Source organism: Homo sapiens, chromosome 2 (assembly GCF_000001405.40).
Source record: "Homo sapiens chromosome 2, GRCh38.p14 Primary Assembly".
Classification (NCBI taxonomy): Eukaryota; Metazoa; Chordata; class Mammalia; order Primates; family Hominidae; genus Homo; species Homo sapiens.
Window position 1 is genome coordinate 98,549,820 of NC_000002.12, and position 17,491 is coordinate 98,567,310.

Genomic DNA, 17,491 nt, shown 5'->3' on the forward strand with positions numbered 1-17,491 from the left:
AAGGGAGGGAGGAGGGCATCTAGGGACGGTTGCTGCTGCTCCTGCCTCCTTAATGGAGCAGACCCATGCTACTTCTGTGGAAGTGGCCTCTCAGCCTCCCCTCCCTGCCTTTTCTCTACTGGGGACTCTTTCAAGGCCTGATCTTTCCCATAACGGGACAAGTAAAGTACTTAGGGGTTGAGTCTAGCGGGGCAGAGGAAGAGGAATGGGAGGGGAGAGGCCTTTGGCTTTACCAAGGAGCTGCCCCCAAGGCCTGCTCCTTGGTAAATCCCAACCCAGGTGTTTTGGGTTGAACCTTGTTCCTGGGGAACTTTCTGCGTTCCTGGGTTCCCTCTGAGGACCCTCCATAGCCCAATCTGGGCCTGGTCACCCCTTGCCGTCTCCCCCCTGCTCCCCATATACAAGACTGTCCCTGAAGCAGGGAGGGGATGGAGCGGGGAGGGTTACAGGCAGAAGGAGTGTCCCTGCCTGGAGACTGTGAGGGGCTAAATCCCAGGCAGAGAGGACCCAGCCTCCCAATCCTCCTACCCTTGCAGAACCCAGCTCCATGGGGGCTCAGCCTCTGCAGAGGTGATCCTGCTCTTCTAATGTCCAGAGTGACTGTTGCTCAGCAGTTACCAGCAGTTCCTGGCCAGGGCCACAAGACTCCACCCTTACGCTCTCATGGCATCTTCAGTTTAGCCCATGACCCCAGCTCTGGGTAGGTCCGGGTCTGGGGTGGGGGCCTAATGCAAAGTCCAAGGGCTATACCTAGGATACTGCCTCCTGGGGCTGCCCCTAGGCTTCATGTCTACACCTCCATCCTGCCGCCCTCATGTGGCTGCCTGGTTTTTAAAACTAGGTAGTTGAGCACACATGCTTGTATTTTCCTCATCATCCTAAACAGCACCTCTTTGAAATTTGCCTTTTCTTGCCCCTGCCATGTATATCCCATGCATAAGTCCCAGGTATCATCATTAAAACATGACTTGTGAGAATACAGGGCAAGTATAGGGTAGTGCTTTTCTCTTGGCCTGGGCAGAGGGTATGTATTTGTTGAAGGGTACACAGCCACCTCCTTACACAGAAGTAGATCTACATACAGCACATTTTATATATGTACTCTAAATATTGGGGGCCTGGGAAGAATCCTTTTTTTTTTTCCACTGTTTTTGGAGTCAGGGTCTTGCTCTGTCACCCAGGCTGGAGTGCACTGGCACCGTCATAACTCACTACAGCCTCAAACTCCTGGGCTCAGTTGACCCTCCTGCCTCAGCCTCCTAAGTAGCCAGAACCACAAGCACAAGCCACCATGCCTAGCTAATTTTTAAATTTTTTTAAAAGGTGGGGTCTCACGATGTTGCCCAGGCTGATCTTGAACTCCCAGGCTCAAGCAATCCACCCACCTTGGCCTACCAAAGTGCTAGGATTATAGGCCACCATGCTTGGCTGAATTGATTTTTTAAAATCCTATTTTGAGATTGTCTTTTTAAGATGAAATGGTCTTAGAAGGCAGCTATTCATTTGGAAGAGTGATTGCAGATTGGAAAGTAGTGTGCACATCATGCTGTGGAATGACTCCTGTTGTGCCCCACGAGCTTGAGTGCGGTCTGCTGCATGGGCTTCTGGCACATCCATTGTTTTTTACTGTGGCGTGTGGGCTTGTGGTGGTGGTGTTTCTTTCCGGGGTGCTTTGGTTTTCGGTTTTTGCATGTTTGCCACATAATCCAGCAAGGGAAGGGGTAGTGGTGGTTTCTTGATGAACCACTTTGGGACTTCCCTGGGAAGGGGCCAATGGGGAAGATTCTCAGCCCTGACCAAGGTGACTGTCATCTCCAGGGGAAGTGATGGAGGATGTGGTGAGAGGTGCCCTCGCTCCTCCTCTCTCTCTCTTCCCCAGAATTCAAAGGGTAGCCCTTTAGGGACCAGTCAGGACCCCTCATCCCATGAGCGAAGGGACACCCATTCTACCCAGAGCTCACAATTTCAAATTTTAGGAGGAGACCTCTGCATTGGTGGCTTGTACTTCTTCCTGCTTTCTTCAGCTTCCTCAGATGGTCTGAAAAATAAATTTATAATATTGGATTGATTGGGATCAGGCTAAGAGACATGCAATTTATCATCACCGTTTAGTTGGACCCAACACACTGGCCAGGCCCCCACAGCGGGAGGATGTGAAGTTGGTCTTTCAGAGCCTCCTGATTGTGCTGGGAGGGGCTGGGCTGTAGGCTTGGCATCAGATCCCTAGACACACACGCTGCTTGGTGGCGAAGAGGTGGGAAGGAGGGAGAGCCAGGGTTACAAAGCCACTGAGGAGTCCGGCTTTGCCTGTGGCTTGGCATGTTCTCCACTTTTTCTTCATTTGATGAAACGTTATTTTTCAAAGTAGGGAAGTCCTGGAGCGAAGGAAAGGGAAAGGAAACCCCATTTTCTAGGGACTTGCTGGGGTCAGACATGAGAGGAAGGACGACTGTGGGTATGTTCACAGGGAGCTTGAATGCCTGATTGGCCAAAAGAAAAAATAGGTTTTGGTTGTTTGGGGACAAAGTCTAACACCCACTGCAGTCTCTGCTACACTGTGATAACCTGACCCCTTCTTCTGTAAATGGCCTCTATGTCTCCACTTAAGTACTGCTTATAAGTTAATAGATGAGGTTGTGAGGTGGAAGATTACGATCATTTGGGTGATTATGGGATATGATTGTTCAATACCTGTTCATACATTTACATACACAAGTAAAAATACAGATACATGCAAATACAGATAAAAGACTGAGTCATAGTTTAATATTTCAAGCTCCTGCCATATAGACAGGAAGAATCTCCTAAGATATACTTTGCTCATCAACAACTAGAGTAGCTTGAGAGAACATCCCTGAGTCACAGAACACTTCATCTTAGGGTCAATTGTGGCTGGGGTTGGAATGATGCTGTCATCCTTTTCAGATTCTGGAGAATCCCTTAGAATCCATTCTTATCCTTTCCAGTACATCATCTGGCTGCCAGTCCATAATCTACATACCCCAGGATGTTGTCAGAGCCAAGGAGATCATCGCCCAGATCAACACCCTGAAAACCCAAGTGAGTTACTACGCAGAGCGGCTGTCAAGGGCAGCCAAGGACAGGTCTGCCACTGGCCTTGAGAGGACACTCGCCATCTTGGCAGACAAGGTAGGAGGGGTGCCCTGCTACATATGGGCTGGGGAGTTTCCTTGGGTTTCTGGAAGCCACCAGGCAGCCCAGGTGTACCTAAGATGGTCCACAAAGAGCGTGACATTGGGATGACTTTGAAGGTCTACCTTAGGTCCATTTCGCACAAAGGCCCAGGGAGGTTTTGTGATTTGTCCGCAGAGCTGGACAGACCAAGGGCAGAGCCCAGGGCTCATGACTCTTAGGTGCAGCTTCAGGCACATGTGCCCTTCAGCAAGTCCATGGGGCTCATTTTGTTGAGGGTGATACAGTTCCACTTCTTTCTCAGTAACAGCCTAACTAGCACTTTTTTTTTTTGGCCACATTTCTATTTTAGTTGAATTTGAAAACAGAAACTGAGCTATTATACAGACATAAGAAGAATATAATTTTATTGGCTTACATATAGTCAGTAAACCAGCTTCTACTTAGCCATAACTTGATCCTGGTTTTAAAATATGTAAGTATTAATCCCTACTGAGGAAGTGGCTATTATCAGACCCTTTTGATGGATGATACTTTTCCCCATTACTTGGTCTCTCTCTCAGCGCACACAAACACGCTCTCATACACACACACACGCTCTCATACACACACACACACCCCAGATTCTGACTATACCTCCACACTCACACTCACTGTGCTGTTGAGCTGCTGTTCCTGATCAGAATGTGTTATATCCTTCACAGGTGTTCACACAGCATAGAGTGTGAGGTGGGGATTAGATCCCCTGGAAAAGAAAGATGTAGTTGTCAGCAGTAACATTATGAACCACAGAACCCGTGTTGCATGCAGAATTCTCCAAAACCAGACATGTTGTGCCAGGAGGCCAGCTACCCAGAACCCAGAACTTGAGGTATTAGATGCTGAGGAACAAAAGATAAGACTTACACAATTGAACCAAAGTAAGGCCTGACCCCTGGACACTTGTTCCCTGGAAGGTGGAAGTCTGTCAAGGCTGGGGCAGTGGGCTCTCTCTGCAGGCCCCTCCCCTAGCAATCACAGGTCAGAGGTAGGCAGGGATCAGAGAATGTCAGAGATTTCTCAACCTCTTCTCTTCCTTGGTGGGAAATTCTTGTTAAGATTCAGCCCAAGTGGGCCACATGGCAGTCTTTGTACTCAGACATCTTGAGGGATGTAGCCCTTCAGTTGCTTTGCACTGTGGAGAAAGGCAGAGGGGTGCAGTGCTGGGCTTTAAGCCCATTCTCCATTTCTGAGATAAGGCAGGGGCCTCCCCAGCCCCTGGCCTGGGCTCAGCAGCCTTGGTTTGTGTGCACCTGCAGACACGGCAGCTGGTCACGGTCTGCGACTGCAAGCTCCTGGCCAACTCCATCCATGGGCTGAACGCTGCACGGCCTGACTACATTGCCTCCAAGGCCTCTCCCACTTCGACTGAGGAGGAGCAGGTGATGCTTAGAAATGACCAGGACACCCTCATGGCCCGGTGGACAGGGAGAAACAGCCGATCTTCCCTGCAGGTGGACTGGCACGAGGAGGAGTGGGTGAGTCTGCTGCTGTGGCTGTCATCCCACTGCTGAACTTGGGCTGAAAACCACAAAACCTGTTGCCAGTCTCTGCCCCTCTGAAGTGCCTCAAGGTTCAACTGCTGTGAACAAGCTCCAGGTTTCCTTCCTGGATGGCTCCTTGGCTCCTGATGCAGGGAGGGAGGAGACTGTTTTCAAACCCTTGTGTCCAGATAGGGGTAGGGCTGTGCTGGGGGCTGGGCCAGCCTCAGACCTGGATGAAGAGGAAGACAAGTGGGTTTTCCTCCCGTGTTGGAGGTCTCTCCTTCCCCTGCCTCCTGTGCCTTCTATGGCCTTGGGATGCTTGAGACCAGTCAGTGCTCTGTTTGCTGTTAGATTTTCCAGGGCTATGTGTATTTGGGGACGTGGGAGCTCTGGTGCTGGGGCAAGTAGATATGGATTTTGGAGCTGCCGCCCTGACATTACATCACATTATTGTTCCTCAGAGAATTGGCCCTGGGAGCAGGATCTGTGTTTCTTGAGGGAGTGACACATTGTACAACTTGTTTTTACCATTTATTGAGACTACTGCTTAGAGGCATTGTTCTACAAGCACTGAACTATTAATCAGCAGCAAAGTCCCATCCTATACACTGTGCGTGTTTCTGCAAATCACTCCCAGACCTTCCTCTCCTCCTCCCCACCTCCCCTATCGAAATTTCTGTTCCCTTCTATCAAAAGGAGGCCTCCATTTTGTCTGTGTGTGATGATTGTAGGAAGTCTGCAGTGGCAAGAGGAGGAGATGAGACAGTGCCCTGTGGCCTTTCAGGCAGCACTGGAGGGCCACCTGGCCTCCAGAAGAGTTACTAGCAAACATCTCCCAAACTCTAAAAACAATGGCCGCAGGACATCGATTCATCGTTGAAAAGCAAATGCAACTTTAGTGGGGAATTAGGAATCATCTTTATATTTCTAAACTTTGAGGTATTTTAACAAGTGTGGAAGCCTAGGGCAGGGGATCAGTGGAGGGCGATTTGGTTTGTGTTATGTTTGTGTTTCTGTTCGGGAGAGCTGACCCACATGGGCCCCTTTGATTTGGAAGGAGAAAGTGTGGCTGAACGTGGACAAGAGCCTAGAGTGCATCATTCAGCGTGTGGACAAGCTGCTGCAGAAGGAGCGGCTGCATGGCGAGGGCTGTGAGGATGTCTTCCCCTGTGCAGGCAGCTGCACCAGCAAGAAAGGTAACCCGGACAGCCACGCCTACTGGATCAGACCAGAAGACCCCTTCTGTGATGTCCCCTCCTCACCATGCCCCTCCACCATGCCCTCCACTGCATGCCATCCTCATCTGACCACACGTGCGTATGCATCCATGCTTCCCATATGCTGCCTCCATTTCACCTTGTGCTGCTTCCATTTGTCTGTGTCTCTGACTCCATGCCCTCCTCCCCCATGCAGACTGCAGGGAGGGCTGCCAGGTGGAGCGGGGGCGTCCCAGTGCATGGAGCAGCAGGCAGTGAGAGCGGAGTCTCCGGTTGCCTTTCCATGTAACTGGAGCCCATGTGTGATTCTGCATCTCTGCCAGTCAGAATCTCAGGGTCCTCTTGAGATACACCACCATGGCTATAAGGGTTGGGCTCCTGGGCTTTTCAGGTTTGTAAAGCAATCTGAGAACCTGAAGGAGGCCAGGATGCAGATGCCTTTCTGATGTGATTGTCTATGGCATTAGGAATTGGTAGAATGAAAGGGGAAAGGGGAATTGTTCAGGGACACAGCTGGATGAGAGATATTGGCAGGTCCAGTGGACATGTCTAAAAGCTGGTTGGCATTGGCTGGGCACTCTCTTATGCAGCAGAGGCATGTTGCCTTGGGACTTGGTAACACAGAGAATGGGACCCTGTTCCTGGGCTTCTGGTGGTCTGAGTCAGGTGGTTTGGCAGGACCCTTCAGGGTAGGACACTGGCATGAAGCAGCATGCTTCAGAACAGTCTCCTGTCTGCAGAGACACAGCATACCAGGACACTGTCCTGCAGATGGCCTTAAAGCTGGGAAACAGTCCCTGCAACTGAGATGTCTCCGCCTTTTCCTGTAAGAGCCATAGAGTTACAAGCTAGGCAGCTGAGACTTGCCCACAGACCTAGCTTCTGCCTCCTTTTTGTTCTCCTGTGGGAGTTTTAAGTCATAGTAGGTAAGGCCCAGATGTGCTGGGATTAAGCTTCATGTGATGAGGGCTTTTAAATTCTGAATTGGAGAACTTCCATTCAAGGTATAAGCGTGCCTCTTGGTCAGAGCCTCTTGGCAAATCCCCCTTCAGGTTGTAAGATGCCCTTTGCCTCTTTACTCTGCCTGCAGTCTGTTTCCAGGGCACTGTCTCACTTGAGCCTCTGTCTCGACAGTTATCACGTCACCCATCTCTCCATCTATGGGGGATTATGGTTTCACTTCCCCACACCTGTGATTGGCTCATGGAACTATTTTGTCTCTATTCATGTTCTCTTTTTTATGTGAATCGTGTTCCTTTTTAAAATTTTCTGAAAATTCATTGTTTATTTCTTTTTACTTTATTATCTTGTTTGTGATTTTAAATTTTTCTACAGATAATGAAAAGGGTAATTTATTGGCTGTTTTAAATGTGGGAGCTAGTTTATTTCATCAGATGGGATTATATCCCTAACTTAAGTGTCATTTTTTTTCTAGGCACATCCTGTATTGTTTAAATATAGATACATTTTTATTCAGTTTTAAAGTTAGTTAAGTGAGCATTTATATATGCTATTTAGGGTTTGACTTGCGTGTGCCATAAAAATCAGCTGTTGTAATAATGGGAATGTGAAGCTTACATTTGAGAGAGTCTAACTCTGCTGATCAGTACTCAAATGTATGAAACCATATGCCACCAAATTATCTGTGGATGGTCCTTAATTTAAACATCTTTAGCACAGCCAGGAAGCTGTTCAGTCCTCAGTGTAAGTAGGAGGATCAGAAAGAACCAGTCTGTGAGCTATTTATTTTGGTGAGTCTTGTCCACAGTGCCACAGCATGGCTCTGTCATGACTTTTTATACCATTCCAAGTTACTGGAGCCATTGTTTTGGCTTAATGAGCAGGTATGTTCACACCAACATATTTATTATGTGAGAATAACTCTGTACTGCTCTGAAAGGCATCATCACTTTTCATTCCAGTTCTCTACCCTGTCCTAGGTCCTTGGTTTTTATTTTTCACCAGGGAGCTGCCCTGCCTCAGAGCTGCCCTGCCCTGATCAGAGAGCACTGTCTGGCAGGTGAGGGTCACCCAGGGCCAAGGCCTTGTGGGGGACCCACTGACAAGTCCCTGCCAGCCAAAACCACAGAGGCTCCTCAAACTTCCCTTCTTCTCATCTCTCCAAAAGTCTCCCATCCCCCTCCACCCCCGCCTGCCAAGGTGCACCACTATCGCCCCACCAGGATTTGGTGGCTTCCACCGCCTTCCTCCTGTACACTCTGTTGCTCTCCTCATACCCAAAGAGATGGTTAGACCAAGTTTTTCTTAGTCTGGGGTCTATGGGTACACCCAGGTTCTTGTACCCCTGAGATTATGTGCTGGAATTTGCATGTGTGTACAGAGGAAGTCCAGAGTGGTCACCTATTCTCAACTCCATGACCTAAGACAAGTTACAAGCCATTATTCCAGGAGTACCAGAGAAGACCCCCTTTTTCTCCCCTTTGATTGAAAGATGAATTTAGCAAATTGGGTTTAATCCCTGATGCCTTCACAGGAATGGTCCCAACCTAGCTGTTTGGGATCACCACAGAAGCTCATAAAACAGGCTCCTAGACCTTCCTCCTCATTCATAAGCTCAGAATCCTAGAAGAGGGGTTATGGGGAGGCAAAAATCTGTATTTTTTCAAGGCCTCACATAACCTGATTAGCAGATCAATATGTAAGAGCCACAGTTCTATATCACTGTGGGTTTCTATCTTTGTTAGCAACATGGTCTCAGGGCATCTGGGTTAACGAAGAGGTCGAACTCTTGAACTTGCAGATGCCTTTGTATTCTCTTTCCCCTTTGCCAGTTTGAAAAGTCACTTCCAAAGACGATTAGAGAGGAAGGATCCTTTGCCCCTTCTTTACAACCTAGGTTGTAAAATCCCCATAAAGCTGGTTCTGGCTGTTCTTGGGGATCCGAGACCACCTCATTTCCACATCCTGAAGACATTGTTTGAACTGAAAAGCTCAGACATAAATTAACATAAATGTTTTCTTCCATGATTCCTTTTCAAACTTGTTTTCTCTTAGATGGTGCACCCAGTTAATGAGAAATTTTGGTTTTTAAGGGAAATACGAAATTGAAGTAAGTACATCCCAGTGTGACTTAGTATAGGTGAAATGGAATCAAAAGTGGTATTCTTTGAGGACCTGAAGGGACATTCTAATTGGAGACTACCCCTAAATCACAAAACTTAACATTTGTTTTAAATTTGGGAGATTGGCATAGAGTTTTTTTTGGTATACTGGTTTCATTCCTGGATCTTAACACTTTGGATCTCAGCAGTCGATCCTGAGCCCAGGCTTCCCCGGTGAATCAGAGCAGTGGGACTGACCGTGGAACACGCCGTGTACTGGTCAGTCTCTCTCCTTACAAGTTTGCTTCCAGATGCCGCAAGCCAACGCGGGGCTCTGCCACTACAATGTGATTTATGTGGGTGCTTTTTTCTGTGGCATTTATCACATTGTAATAAGCTAGATCGCACATCCCGAAGAGCATTTTATGTTGAACTATTGGCAACATGAATGTTTAAGCTGGGGAATCTGTCATTGTTTACCACTGAGAGGGCTTGGCTGCCTTGGAGCAGCCAGAGTACTTTCGTGAGCCTTCTTGGGGAAGAGGCAGCCAGGCACCCAGACCTCTTTTCTGTTTGTTAGCCGCCTTACTGCAAGCTGCTGACGCAGCTGCTGCTCTGAGATTGAGTTGCTTGGTTTGAACTGTGTGCTGCTCCTTAATCATCCATGTCGCCCTCCATTTCTGTGCAGATTGCAGTCCCCCTCCTGAAGAGTCCAGCCCAGGTACGTGGTTTCCGTTCAAGGCTCCTGCTGATGCCCTTTTAATTGATACTCAGGTAGTGTTTTGTAGCTAAATTACAAAAGATTGCCTTATGATCCCAGAGTTGGGAAAGTATTCCAGGACCTCCTTCGTTGTGAGGCATAAAACACTTTTCGCAGGTTTGATGAGGGACCAGTTGGGCTGAGGAAATTGTGGCCTGAGGCAGACTACCACATGTATTTGTTTTACTCTTACATTCTAAAGTCTTTACAGATGAGCGTGTTGGGCTTCCTGAAGTGGTTGACCTGAGGTAGGGAGGTACACATCTGGACTTCCTGGGTGCAGTTTTAGAATTCTTACCAGACATTGCTATGGGCCTCAGTTGCAGTTAGTACCAGAAATGTAATCTCTTTGCTTCCTTTGCATGTAGAAACCAATGTTTATGGTTCTAGTTCAGGGGTTGGCAAGCTACAGCTCTGAGCTAAATCTTGTCCACAGTCTGCTCTTATAAATAATGTTTTGTTAGAAACCAACCTTGCCCACTTGTTCATGTATTGTCTGCAGCTGCTTTTGTGCAGCAGTGCCAGAGTTCGTTGCAGCAGAGAACCCGTGGCCTTCAAAGCCTAAAATATTTACTGTCTAGCTCTTTACAGAAAATGTGTGCTGACCCCTGATCTAGTTCATATTGAGTTTCCTGGGTATGGCTTGTGGTTTTGAGCATGAGTCCCCCAAATAATATGATTTGATGTTCTTTTTCTTACATTCCAAAAATCAGCTGCATGGTCAGTCTATTGCTTGCATATTTCTGACTGGTTATAAATGTAAGACAGCAGGATACTTTGTTGATGTCTAGAATGTAGCGAGTCCATGACTGTGGGATTTACCAGGCTAACAAGCTATTCCTGTGCATTGCTAGTGAAGCCTGTCCACCCATACAGCCCCATGAGTCAGCATAGTGTGGCAGCTCCTGGCAGCAACCCCAGGACGCTCTTAGAAGTTAGCTCATTGGCGGGCTAATCTGATTGGACACCTCATACTCTCCCAGTTTGCTTTCAGCCCCTTCACAGTTTCTCTTTCCCCAAAAGTCAGTGTCGCTTTGAGCAGGCTTTGGGCCCCACCCCCTTGGACCCTCAAGGTTACTGAGGCCTTGGTAGATGTACAAACAGTTGATCTTGGTCTCCTCCTCCGTTGCCTCCCCGGGCCCATGCCTCAGCTGACCTCCACGGCAGGCCAGTGCCTTCGGACTGAGCTGGCTGTCGCCTGAGCCTCAGTGGTGCCCAAGCCTGGGGCCATACCCAGCAGTTAGGGCCAAGAGAGGGCTGGTGGCATGTGCATCTGCCCCCACAGAAGCTCAGGGGGTCTTCTCAGTTCTGGGCTCCTGAGGGTTGCAGAACTAATGGGAAGTCTCATGGGTCCCCGGGCAGCACACAGACAATGCCTGGCCTGTAGAGCCCTCCTTGTTGTGTGTCAGCTGGGACATTTCCAGAAGCACTGATGGCTTTTTCACAGTTGATGCTGATGGACTAAAATGGTCCTTGCAAGGAGTTCTTTTGGCTTTTCCTGGAGAACTGCATTTAATCTGGGCTAAAATATACACACTTACAAAGGCACACACACTCTCCCTTTCTCCCTCCCCTACTGATGAGGGGAAAATGCAGAAGCAAAGTACGGATTTGAAAGTGCTCTTCAAAGTTATCTAAATTAGTATGGCCCATGAATTCACTACCGGTCTGCGAACATTACGGGTTAGGAACTAGATAAGGAGTTTTCTACAAAAACGTGGGTCAGCGACGTCACTCAGGACATTGTTTCACTGAGCTGATTTTTTCTCATAACAAGGCTTTGTCAGTGAAGGAGGCAGAGTATAAACCCTTCACCGATTCCAGTGACCCAGGTGCCTTTACTTCACTAGATCCTGCGTGGAAATCATGTTACTGCCCAAGAAACTCACTTTGGTTGAACTTTTAAAAAATTGTTCCAGGCATGTCTGAGTCCTTCTCTGGGCAGATAACGACACTCACCTTCTACCAAGTTCCATATCTCCTCTTTTCCAGGACAAACATCTTAGTGCTTTTTAGCCATTCTTCCTATACTACAATTTTTTTTCATTTTTTTCCTAATGTAGCGAAGCAATCGTTCTCATAGGAATTTAGTTTAAAGAGATATAGGCAAAGTGAAAAAGTTGTATGGAGAGAGCTTGTTTAGTCAAGTAAGACCAGTTGTATATTTTGATCATTTTCAGATTAAAATAATCATGATTTTCATGATATGCATGACAGCTAGAAGAGCAAAGTAAAATTGGCAACATTTGCTTTAAGAGCATGTACTTCTTAGAGAAGGATAGTCTTAAAGACTGCCTGCCTTTCCCCAAACCGTTTGGCGAGAAAAACTTGTTTGCCTTTGGCATTTTTAATAGGCACTTCATATAATTGGCATACATTCAACAGAATTCTTCAAAGAAACAAAAACATGGTCTCTGAGAACTTTAGTGGAGGAAAGAGACTCGGACATTATCTAGTGCCTCTCTCTCATTTTATAAAAAAGGACCCACATGGCTGAGGGGTCGAGGGCCTTGCCTGTGGTCACCTCTGCTCAGCAGTGGCCGGGGCCGGGCCTCCACATTTTCCACCTCTCAGTTCAGTGTCCTTCGTCACCATGATTCATTTGCTAAGACCTGTCTGCTGTGGACTTGCTAAATTTAAGCCTGCTTTTTCCATTACAGATACAAATCCTGTCCACAAACAGTTAGCGTGCCTGCATGTACAATTAGGCCACCTCCAACTTTTGAGCTGCTACATATACTTAAACATTTGCATTAACCAAACACTGAGTGTAGGGAATTCTTTTATATGTTTCAGTATTTCTTTAGGTTGGTTTCTCAGTGAAGTGCTAACCATCCAGCTTGAGAGAACAGGGCCAAGCCGCCCTTCTCTCGGTCTCTGAGATTCTGTTTATCTAAGACAGAGTTTATCCTCTGGCAGCCGCACAGCTCCCACAGCCCATGGCCTTCCCTGAGTGCCGTGCCGGGACATGGCCTGGCGCATTCTGTGGCTCGAACCCTCACCCTAAGGGGCATGTACTGCCTGGGCTTCACTCCATGACTTCTCACCATGTTTGGTGTGGTGGATTCACCAAGTGGTGATGGTCACATGCCTATTTCTGGTCTTAATCACCTGTTACAAATATAACCTTAATGAGAGCCTGTCTTCTCTTTTAAATGTCTTCTAAATAGGAAGGAAAAAAAGAGTCAAAACCCAAAATATCTTTCACCCTGTTTTTCTCCCTTGAGGTTCTATTTTTAAAAAGTTGTTTTGGTATAGGGTCAAAGTTTCCCTATATTCCTAAAAGAAAACTAAGCTAGAAATAGTACTGGGGAAGGAAGGTGGGGGTGGGGAAGGAAGTGAGTGCAAGGTGGGGCCGTTCTGAGGGCTGAAAACTTGGGAGCTGTGGGGAATAGTCCTCCTCCAGGTGTGCAGGGGTAAGAATTGAACACAGTTGCACACAAGGCTTGGCAAGGGCAGAGGAGTCTCTGACTTGACTTTATACCCAGGTCAAGAGAAGGGAGATCACAGAGAACCTTTCTGGGTGTCCTTCCTCTCCGGGTGGAGGTGCTACAGGGCTGTGGAAGGAGATGGGCCTCTGGGGACAGAGCATTTTCTGGCCTCGTCATGACTTGCAGAAGCTTCTTTGTTGTTTTCCTCCGAAGGCATTGTCTTGAGTATTTCTGTTTAGGGTCCCCAACAGGTTCAGGAGACCAGGCATGTCTTGGAGGTACCGGAGTAGAACTGGTGTTTGAGGTTGCTGGAAAGAGCTGGGGCTAGAGGGCTAGAGGGCTAGAGACTGGGTTGGTTCCAGACAGAGCTGGAAGATGAGGTGGAGATGGGGGAGTGGGAGGACTGCAGTGGTTAGGGGCCAGGTGACTTGTTAAATTGCCAGAACCTAATTCTTAAAATCTCTCTCTCATTGTGATGACCCCTTCGCTTGTGCCCCAGGTGAATGGAGTGAGGCCCTTTACCCGCTGCTGACCACTCTCACCGACTGCGTGGCCATGATGAGTGACAAGGCCAAGAAGGCCATGGTATTCCTGCTCATGCAGGACAGCGCGCCCACCATAGCCACCTACCTGAGCCTGCAGTACCGCCGTGACGTGGTCTTCTGCCAGACGGTAGGCCCCGGGAGCACCCCGAGGGAGACCACGGGCACCTCTCAGCTCAGAAAAGACAGGCTTAGGAAGCCCTTCCCTCTCACTTCACTTGTAAAAGACCCCAGATGGCCATATTTCCTCCTGGTGGTGCTTTAAAGGTTATTTAATAGAGAGGTCTACATTTCAACACAGTCAGGAGAACTACCTTGGCAGCCCATGCTTGCTTCTCCCAAGGAACTGGCACCTGCAGAGTCTGCCGATTCTGCACCCAGGAGATAGTGAGGGCATGCATGGGTGGCACAGGCTTCTTTGCTGCGTTTTTTTTTTTTTTTTTTTTTACTGCACAGAGGTTGAGTGAGGGCAACACAGGTATTTGCTGTCAGTGCAAACATTGCTCGTATAACAGTAGGTGCCTTAGCTCTGCAGCTTGTTGCAGGACTCTCTTATTGTTGAGAGAAGTGAAGCCTTGAAATGAATGTAACAAGTTTAATAGTTGCCAGTAATCAAATTAGTAAAGTGAACAGTGATTTGGGGTTGGGCTGGTTCTCTACAGGTTCCCTCACCCATCCTGGAGAGTCCTGTTTCATCCCATAGAAAATCTCCCACTGGGGAAACTTTGAGTGACCATGTTGTCTCTCACTTCTGTTTTTTGCTGGGGCTAACTCAGTTTCCAGCCAGGGGTGGCATGGCTCTATGAGTAGATAGACCCTTTCACTGTGAGTAATTAATAATGGGCTTCCAGAAGTTCCAGCCTAGGAATAAAGCCAGGTATAGGTCAGGTCAGAAGCTGGGCCAAAAACCAAACCCACTTGGTGAGCGACAGGAATAGCAAGCCCACTGTTGGGCGTCTTCCCATGGCCAGGGCATGCCCCACCTGGGCTTCTCAAGGGATGGGAGGTGCCACTGAAGCCCCTTTGAGCAGTGGCAGCAGAGGAAGGGGGCGGTGGGGGGCTGGGCATGATCTGACTGCCATTTGGTGAGCAGGCACCTGACCCTGAACCTCTTCACCCCACGCTCCCACAGCTGACCGCCCTCATCTGCGGCTTCATCATTAAGCTGAGGAACTGCCTGCATGACGACGGCTTCCTGCGCCAGCTCTACACCATCGGGCTGCTGGCCCAGTTCGAGAGCCTGCTGAGCACCTACGGTGAGGCGCCCGGGCCAGGATCGGGAGCCCCACTTGCGTGTGTGGTTTCCATCCTTTCTTGCTAGGCACTTTTCTCACTATACCAGTAATGCGTGCTTATTGAAATAAATCCAAAATATATAACAGCAGACCAGATGGCAGACCTGGCAGTTACACACGCACACGCCTTGGTTTGTTGTTGTTGCTGGTTGAGGATGGATGCTAATTACTTAACCAGTAACTTCCTGTTGGACTTTGGGTTGTTCCTGAAACACCAGTGCAGCAGTGACATCTGTGCATGAGGCACTTGTGGGCCTGTTTCTGCAGCTACTGAATGACTGGAAGGAGAGTTGCTGGGTCAGAGGGTAGGAATATTTTTAAATTTAATAGATATTTCCAAATTGCCCTCTAAAAAGGCTCTCTTCTTCCTACCCTTGTTTATTATTTATTTATTCTGAGAAGGTGATAGAAAGCATTTGTTAATCATTGGAAATTGAGGACATCGAATAGATATCAAGCCCTGTGTAATGGGAGGGTCTGGCCACAGCAAAGCTGCTTTAGCATCTCTCATTTCGTGTTTCAAGAGCTGGCTTTGCTTTCTGAGTTTATGTATTTGTTTCCCTCCCTACTATCTGGTGCTTGCCCAAGAAATAGTGGGAAGGGATGGCGCGTGTTTCCACCAGATGCATGTTTTGATGTGGCTGTGGGATTTCAGAGGCATTGTTGACTCACAGAGGAGTGAGTTGCAGGGGAAGAGGCTCAGAGACTCCCCCTCCACCAGAGCCACACCTGCACCCCTCCTGTCACAGCCAGGCCTGGGCTTGGCTGCCTTCTGCTGAGACTGGGGAGAGTAGCAGGGCCCTCTGCCTGACAGCCCTGCCCCTCTCTCATGTCCAGGGGAGGAGCTGGCAATGCTGGAGGACATGAGCCTTGGGATCATGGACTTGAGGAACGTGACCTTCAAAGTCACTCAGGCCACTTCCAGCGCCTCCGCAGACATGCTGCCCGTCATCACAGGAAATCGGTAGAGTGTTGGTTTAAAATTCTCTGAGCCAGAGAGCGGTTTTCATTTTTGTTTATCTCAGGGAAGGTACTCTTCTGAATTTTTTATCCTATTTCATTTTGTTAAATGCTCTGATTACAGCCCCCTAGGTTAGTGCCACTCCCTTAAAGGTCTGTGGTTGGCAGTTTGGCCATCACTAAGCCAGAGGGCCAGCCTGGGCACTGCAGCCTGCTCGGTGGCCCTCTGGCCTCACACTGCTCTCCCTCTCTCCACCTTTCTCCAGCGACGGGTTTAACGTGCGGGTCCCTCTGCCGGGCCCGCTGTTTGACGCCTTGCCCCGGGAGATCCAGAGTGGCATGCTGCTGCGAGTGCAGCCCGTCCTCTTCAACGTGGGCATCAATGAGCAGCAGACACTGGCCGAGAGGTGCGTGCCGGCTCCTCGGGGCTGCGGGGGTGTGGTGGCCCTGGAGATGATGCAGAAAACGTACTTACCCCTCTTCAGGCTCTAAGTGCTGGACAGACTTTGTCATCCTTCCTTCCTTTGGCCAACATTTTCATCATGGCCGTGCACCTCACTGTCTTTGGTGCTAGGGACACAGAGTGACCCAGAGGTGGTCTCTGTCCTCAGGGACTCAGCTGGTGGGAGAGAGAGAGACATGGATGCAATGATGAAGACAGATACAGGGCATTGTGGGATCCGGAGTAGGGCACCCAGCAAGGTCTAGGGGGTCTGTAAAGGCTTCTTGGAGTTGCAGGGGATGGGGCTTTGAATTGTGAATAGGAGTTGGATGATGAGGTGGAGGGGAGACATGTCAGATTAAGAAGACTGAAGAAAGGCCTGGCGAGGAGAAACAGCATGGAGTTCAGGGGCACCAGGTTCCAGGCAGGGATTGGCAGGTAAGGGTAGACAGGCTCTGTGTGCCAGGCTGAGACTCATGCCTGAACCTAAAGGCAACTGCCCTCCAGGGTCACTTGCCACACTGCAGAGGGGAGTTGTGTGTGCCTGTGTGTGCACGTGTGCCTGTGTGCGCACATGTGTGTGAGGAGATAGGGTAGATTGGGTATATGTACCCTTTACTGGCCTTCCACTAGTACATGAGAATGATTCCTGTGTTGTCATTTATCTTCATGTGATATGTGTAGAATAGTCTAAACAGAGATCTTCAAGTACTTGCTGTGAAGGAAATTTGGTTTCCAGAACAATATGCCGTGTTCCTGCTGGGCCTTCTGATGTCCAACCCCAGTGGTTGATGTCCATTGACGCCTAGGTGTAGGGTCACACCAACTTAGGAAATATGGTATCATTGCTGGGAGACACTGAAGAACTCTCAGTGGGGCAGGACACAATCAGATTTACATTTAAAGTAGGTCGTTTCGCTGGCACGTGCCGGGAGGAGATGAAGGGGACAAGTGTGAGGAGGAGGCTGCTGGGAGGAGTCCAGGCCAGAGGTGGGAACCTGGATCAGGGCCAGGGGAGTGTTGGTGTTCTGCAGAGGGGTAGGCTGGGGAACTGTTAAAGTGGTCAGTGGAAGGGTTTGGTCTTCAGTGGGGTTGGGGCTGGGGCT

At 48.8% G+C, this 17,491-nt stretch overlaps 1 protein-coding gene across 46 annotated transcripts in view, besides 2 other annotated features; it reads left to right on the forward strand.

Moving 5' to 3' along the window:
* INPP4A (inositol polyphosphate-4-phosphatase type I A) overlaps positions 1 to 17,491 on the forward strand; it is a 149,806-nt gene that overhangs the window by 105,233 nt on the left and 27,082 nt on the right. For 18 of the 46 annotated variants that reach the window (XR_922915.3, XR_007074203.1, XM_047444199.1 and 15 more), the window contains 8 exons: positions 2,967 to 3,150; positions 4,452 to 4,670; positions 5,734 to 5,989; positions 9,644 to 9,676; positions 13,646 to 13,818; positions 14,821 to 14,944; positions 15,821 to 15,947; positions 16,210 to 16,350. Coding sequence is in view for 44 of the 46 variants with exons in the window: in XM_047444199.1 (XP_047300155.1) it covers positions 2,967 to 3,150; positions 4,452 to 4,670; positions 5,734 to 5,989; positions 9,644 to 9,676; positions 13,646 to 13,818; positions 14,821 to 14,944; positions 15,821 to 15,947; positions 16,210 to 16,350 (1,257 nt within the window). In the remaining 2 variants the exon portion in view is untranslated. Of the gene's footprint in view, positions 1 to 536; positions 701 to 2,966; positions 3,151 to 4,451; positions 4,671 to 5,733; positions 5,990 to 9,643; positions 9,677 to 13,645; positions 13,819 to 14,820; positions 14,945 to 15,820; positions 15,948 to 16,209; positions 16,351 to 17,491 lie in introns of all 46 variants that reach the window. The other 28 variants (XM_047444209.1, NM_001351424.1, NM_001351425.2 and 25 more) reach the window with 4 other exon arrangements.
* Positions 4,555 to 5,055: an enhancer, noted in NCBI's record as "H3K4me1 hESC enhancer chr2:99170837-99171337 (GRCh37/hg19 assembly coordinates)". NCBI's record gives its function as "activates a minimal SCP1, AML or CMV promoter by ChIP-STARR-seq in naive H9 embryonic stem cells {active_cell/tissue: H9 hESC(naive)}" and the evidence as "EXISTENCE:reporter gene assay evidence [ECO:0000049][PMID:30033119]".
* Positions 10,502 to 10,673: a silencer, noted in NCBI's record as "fragment chr2:99176784-99176955 (GRCh37/hg19 assembly coordinates)". NCBI's record gives its function as "represses an EF-1alpha promoter that drives an FKBP-Casp9 reporter gene in an ReSE screen in HepG2 liver carcinoma cells {active_cell/tissue: HepG2}" and the evidence as "EXISTENCE:reporter gene assay evidence [ECO:0000049][PMID:32094911]".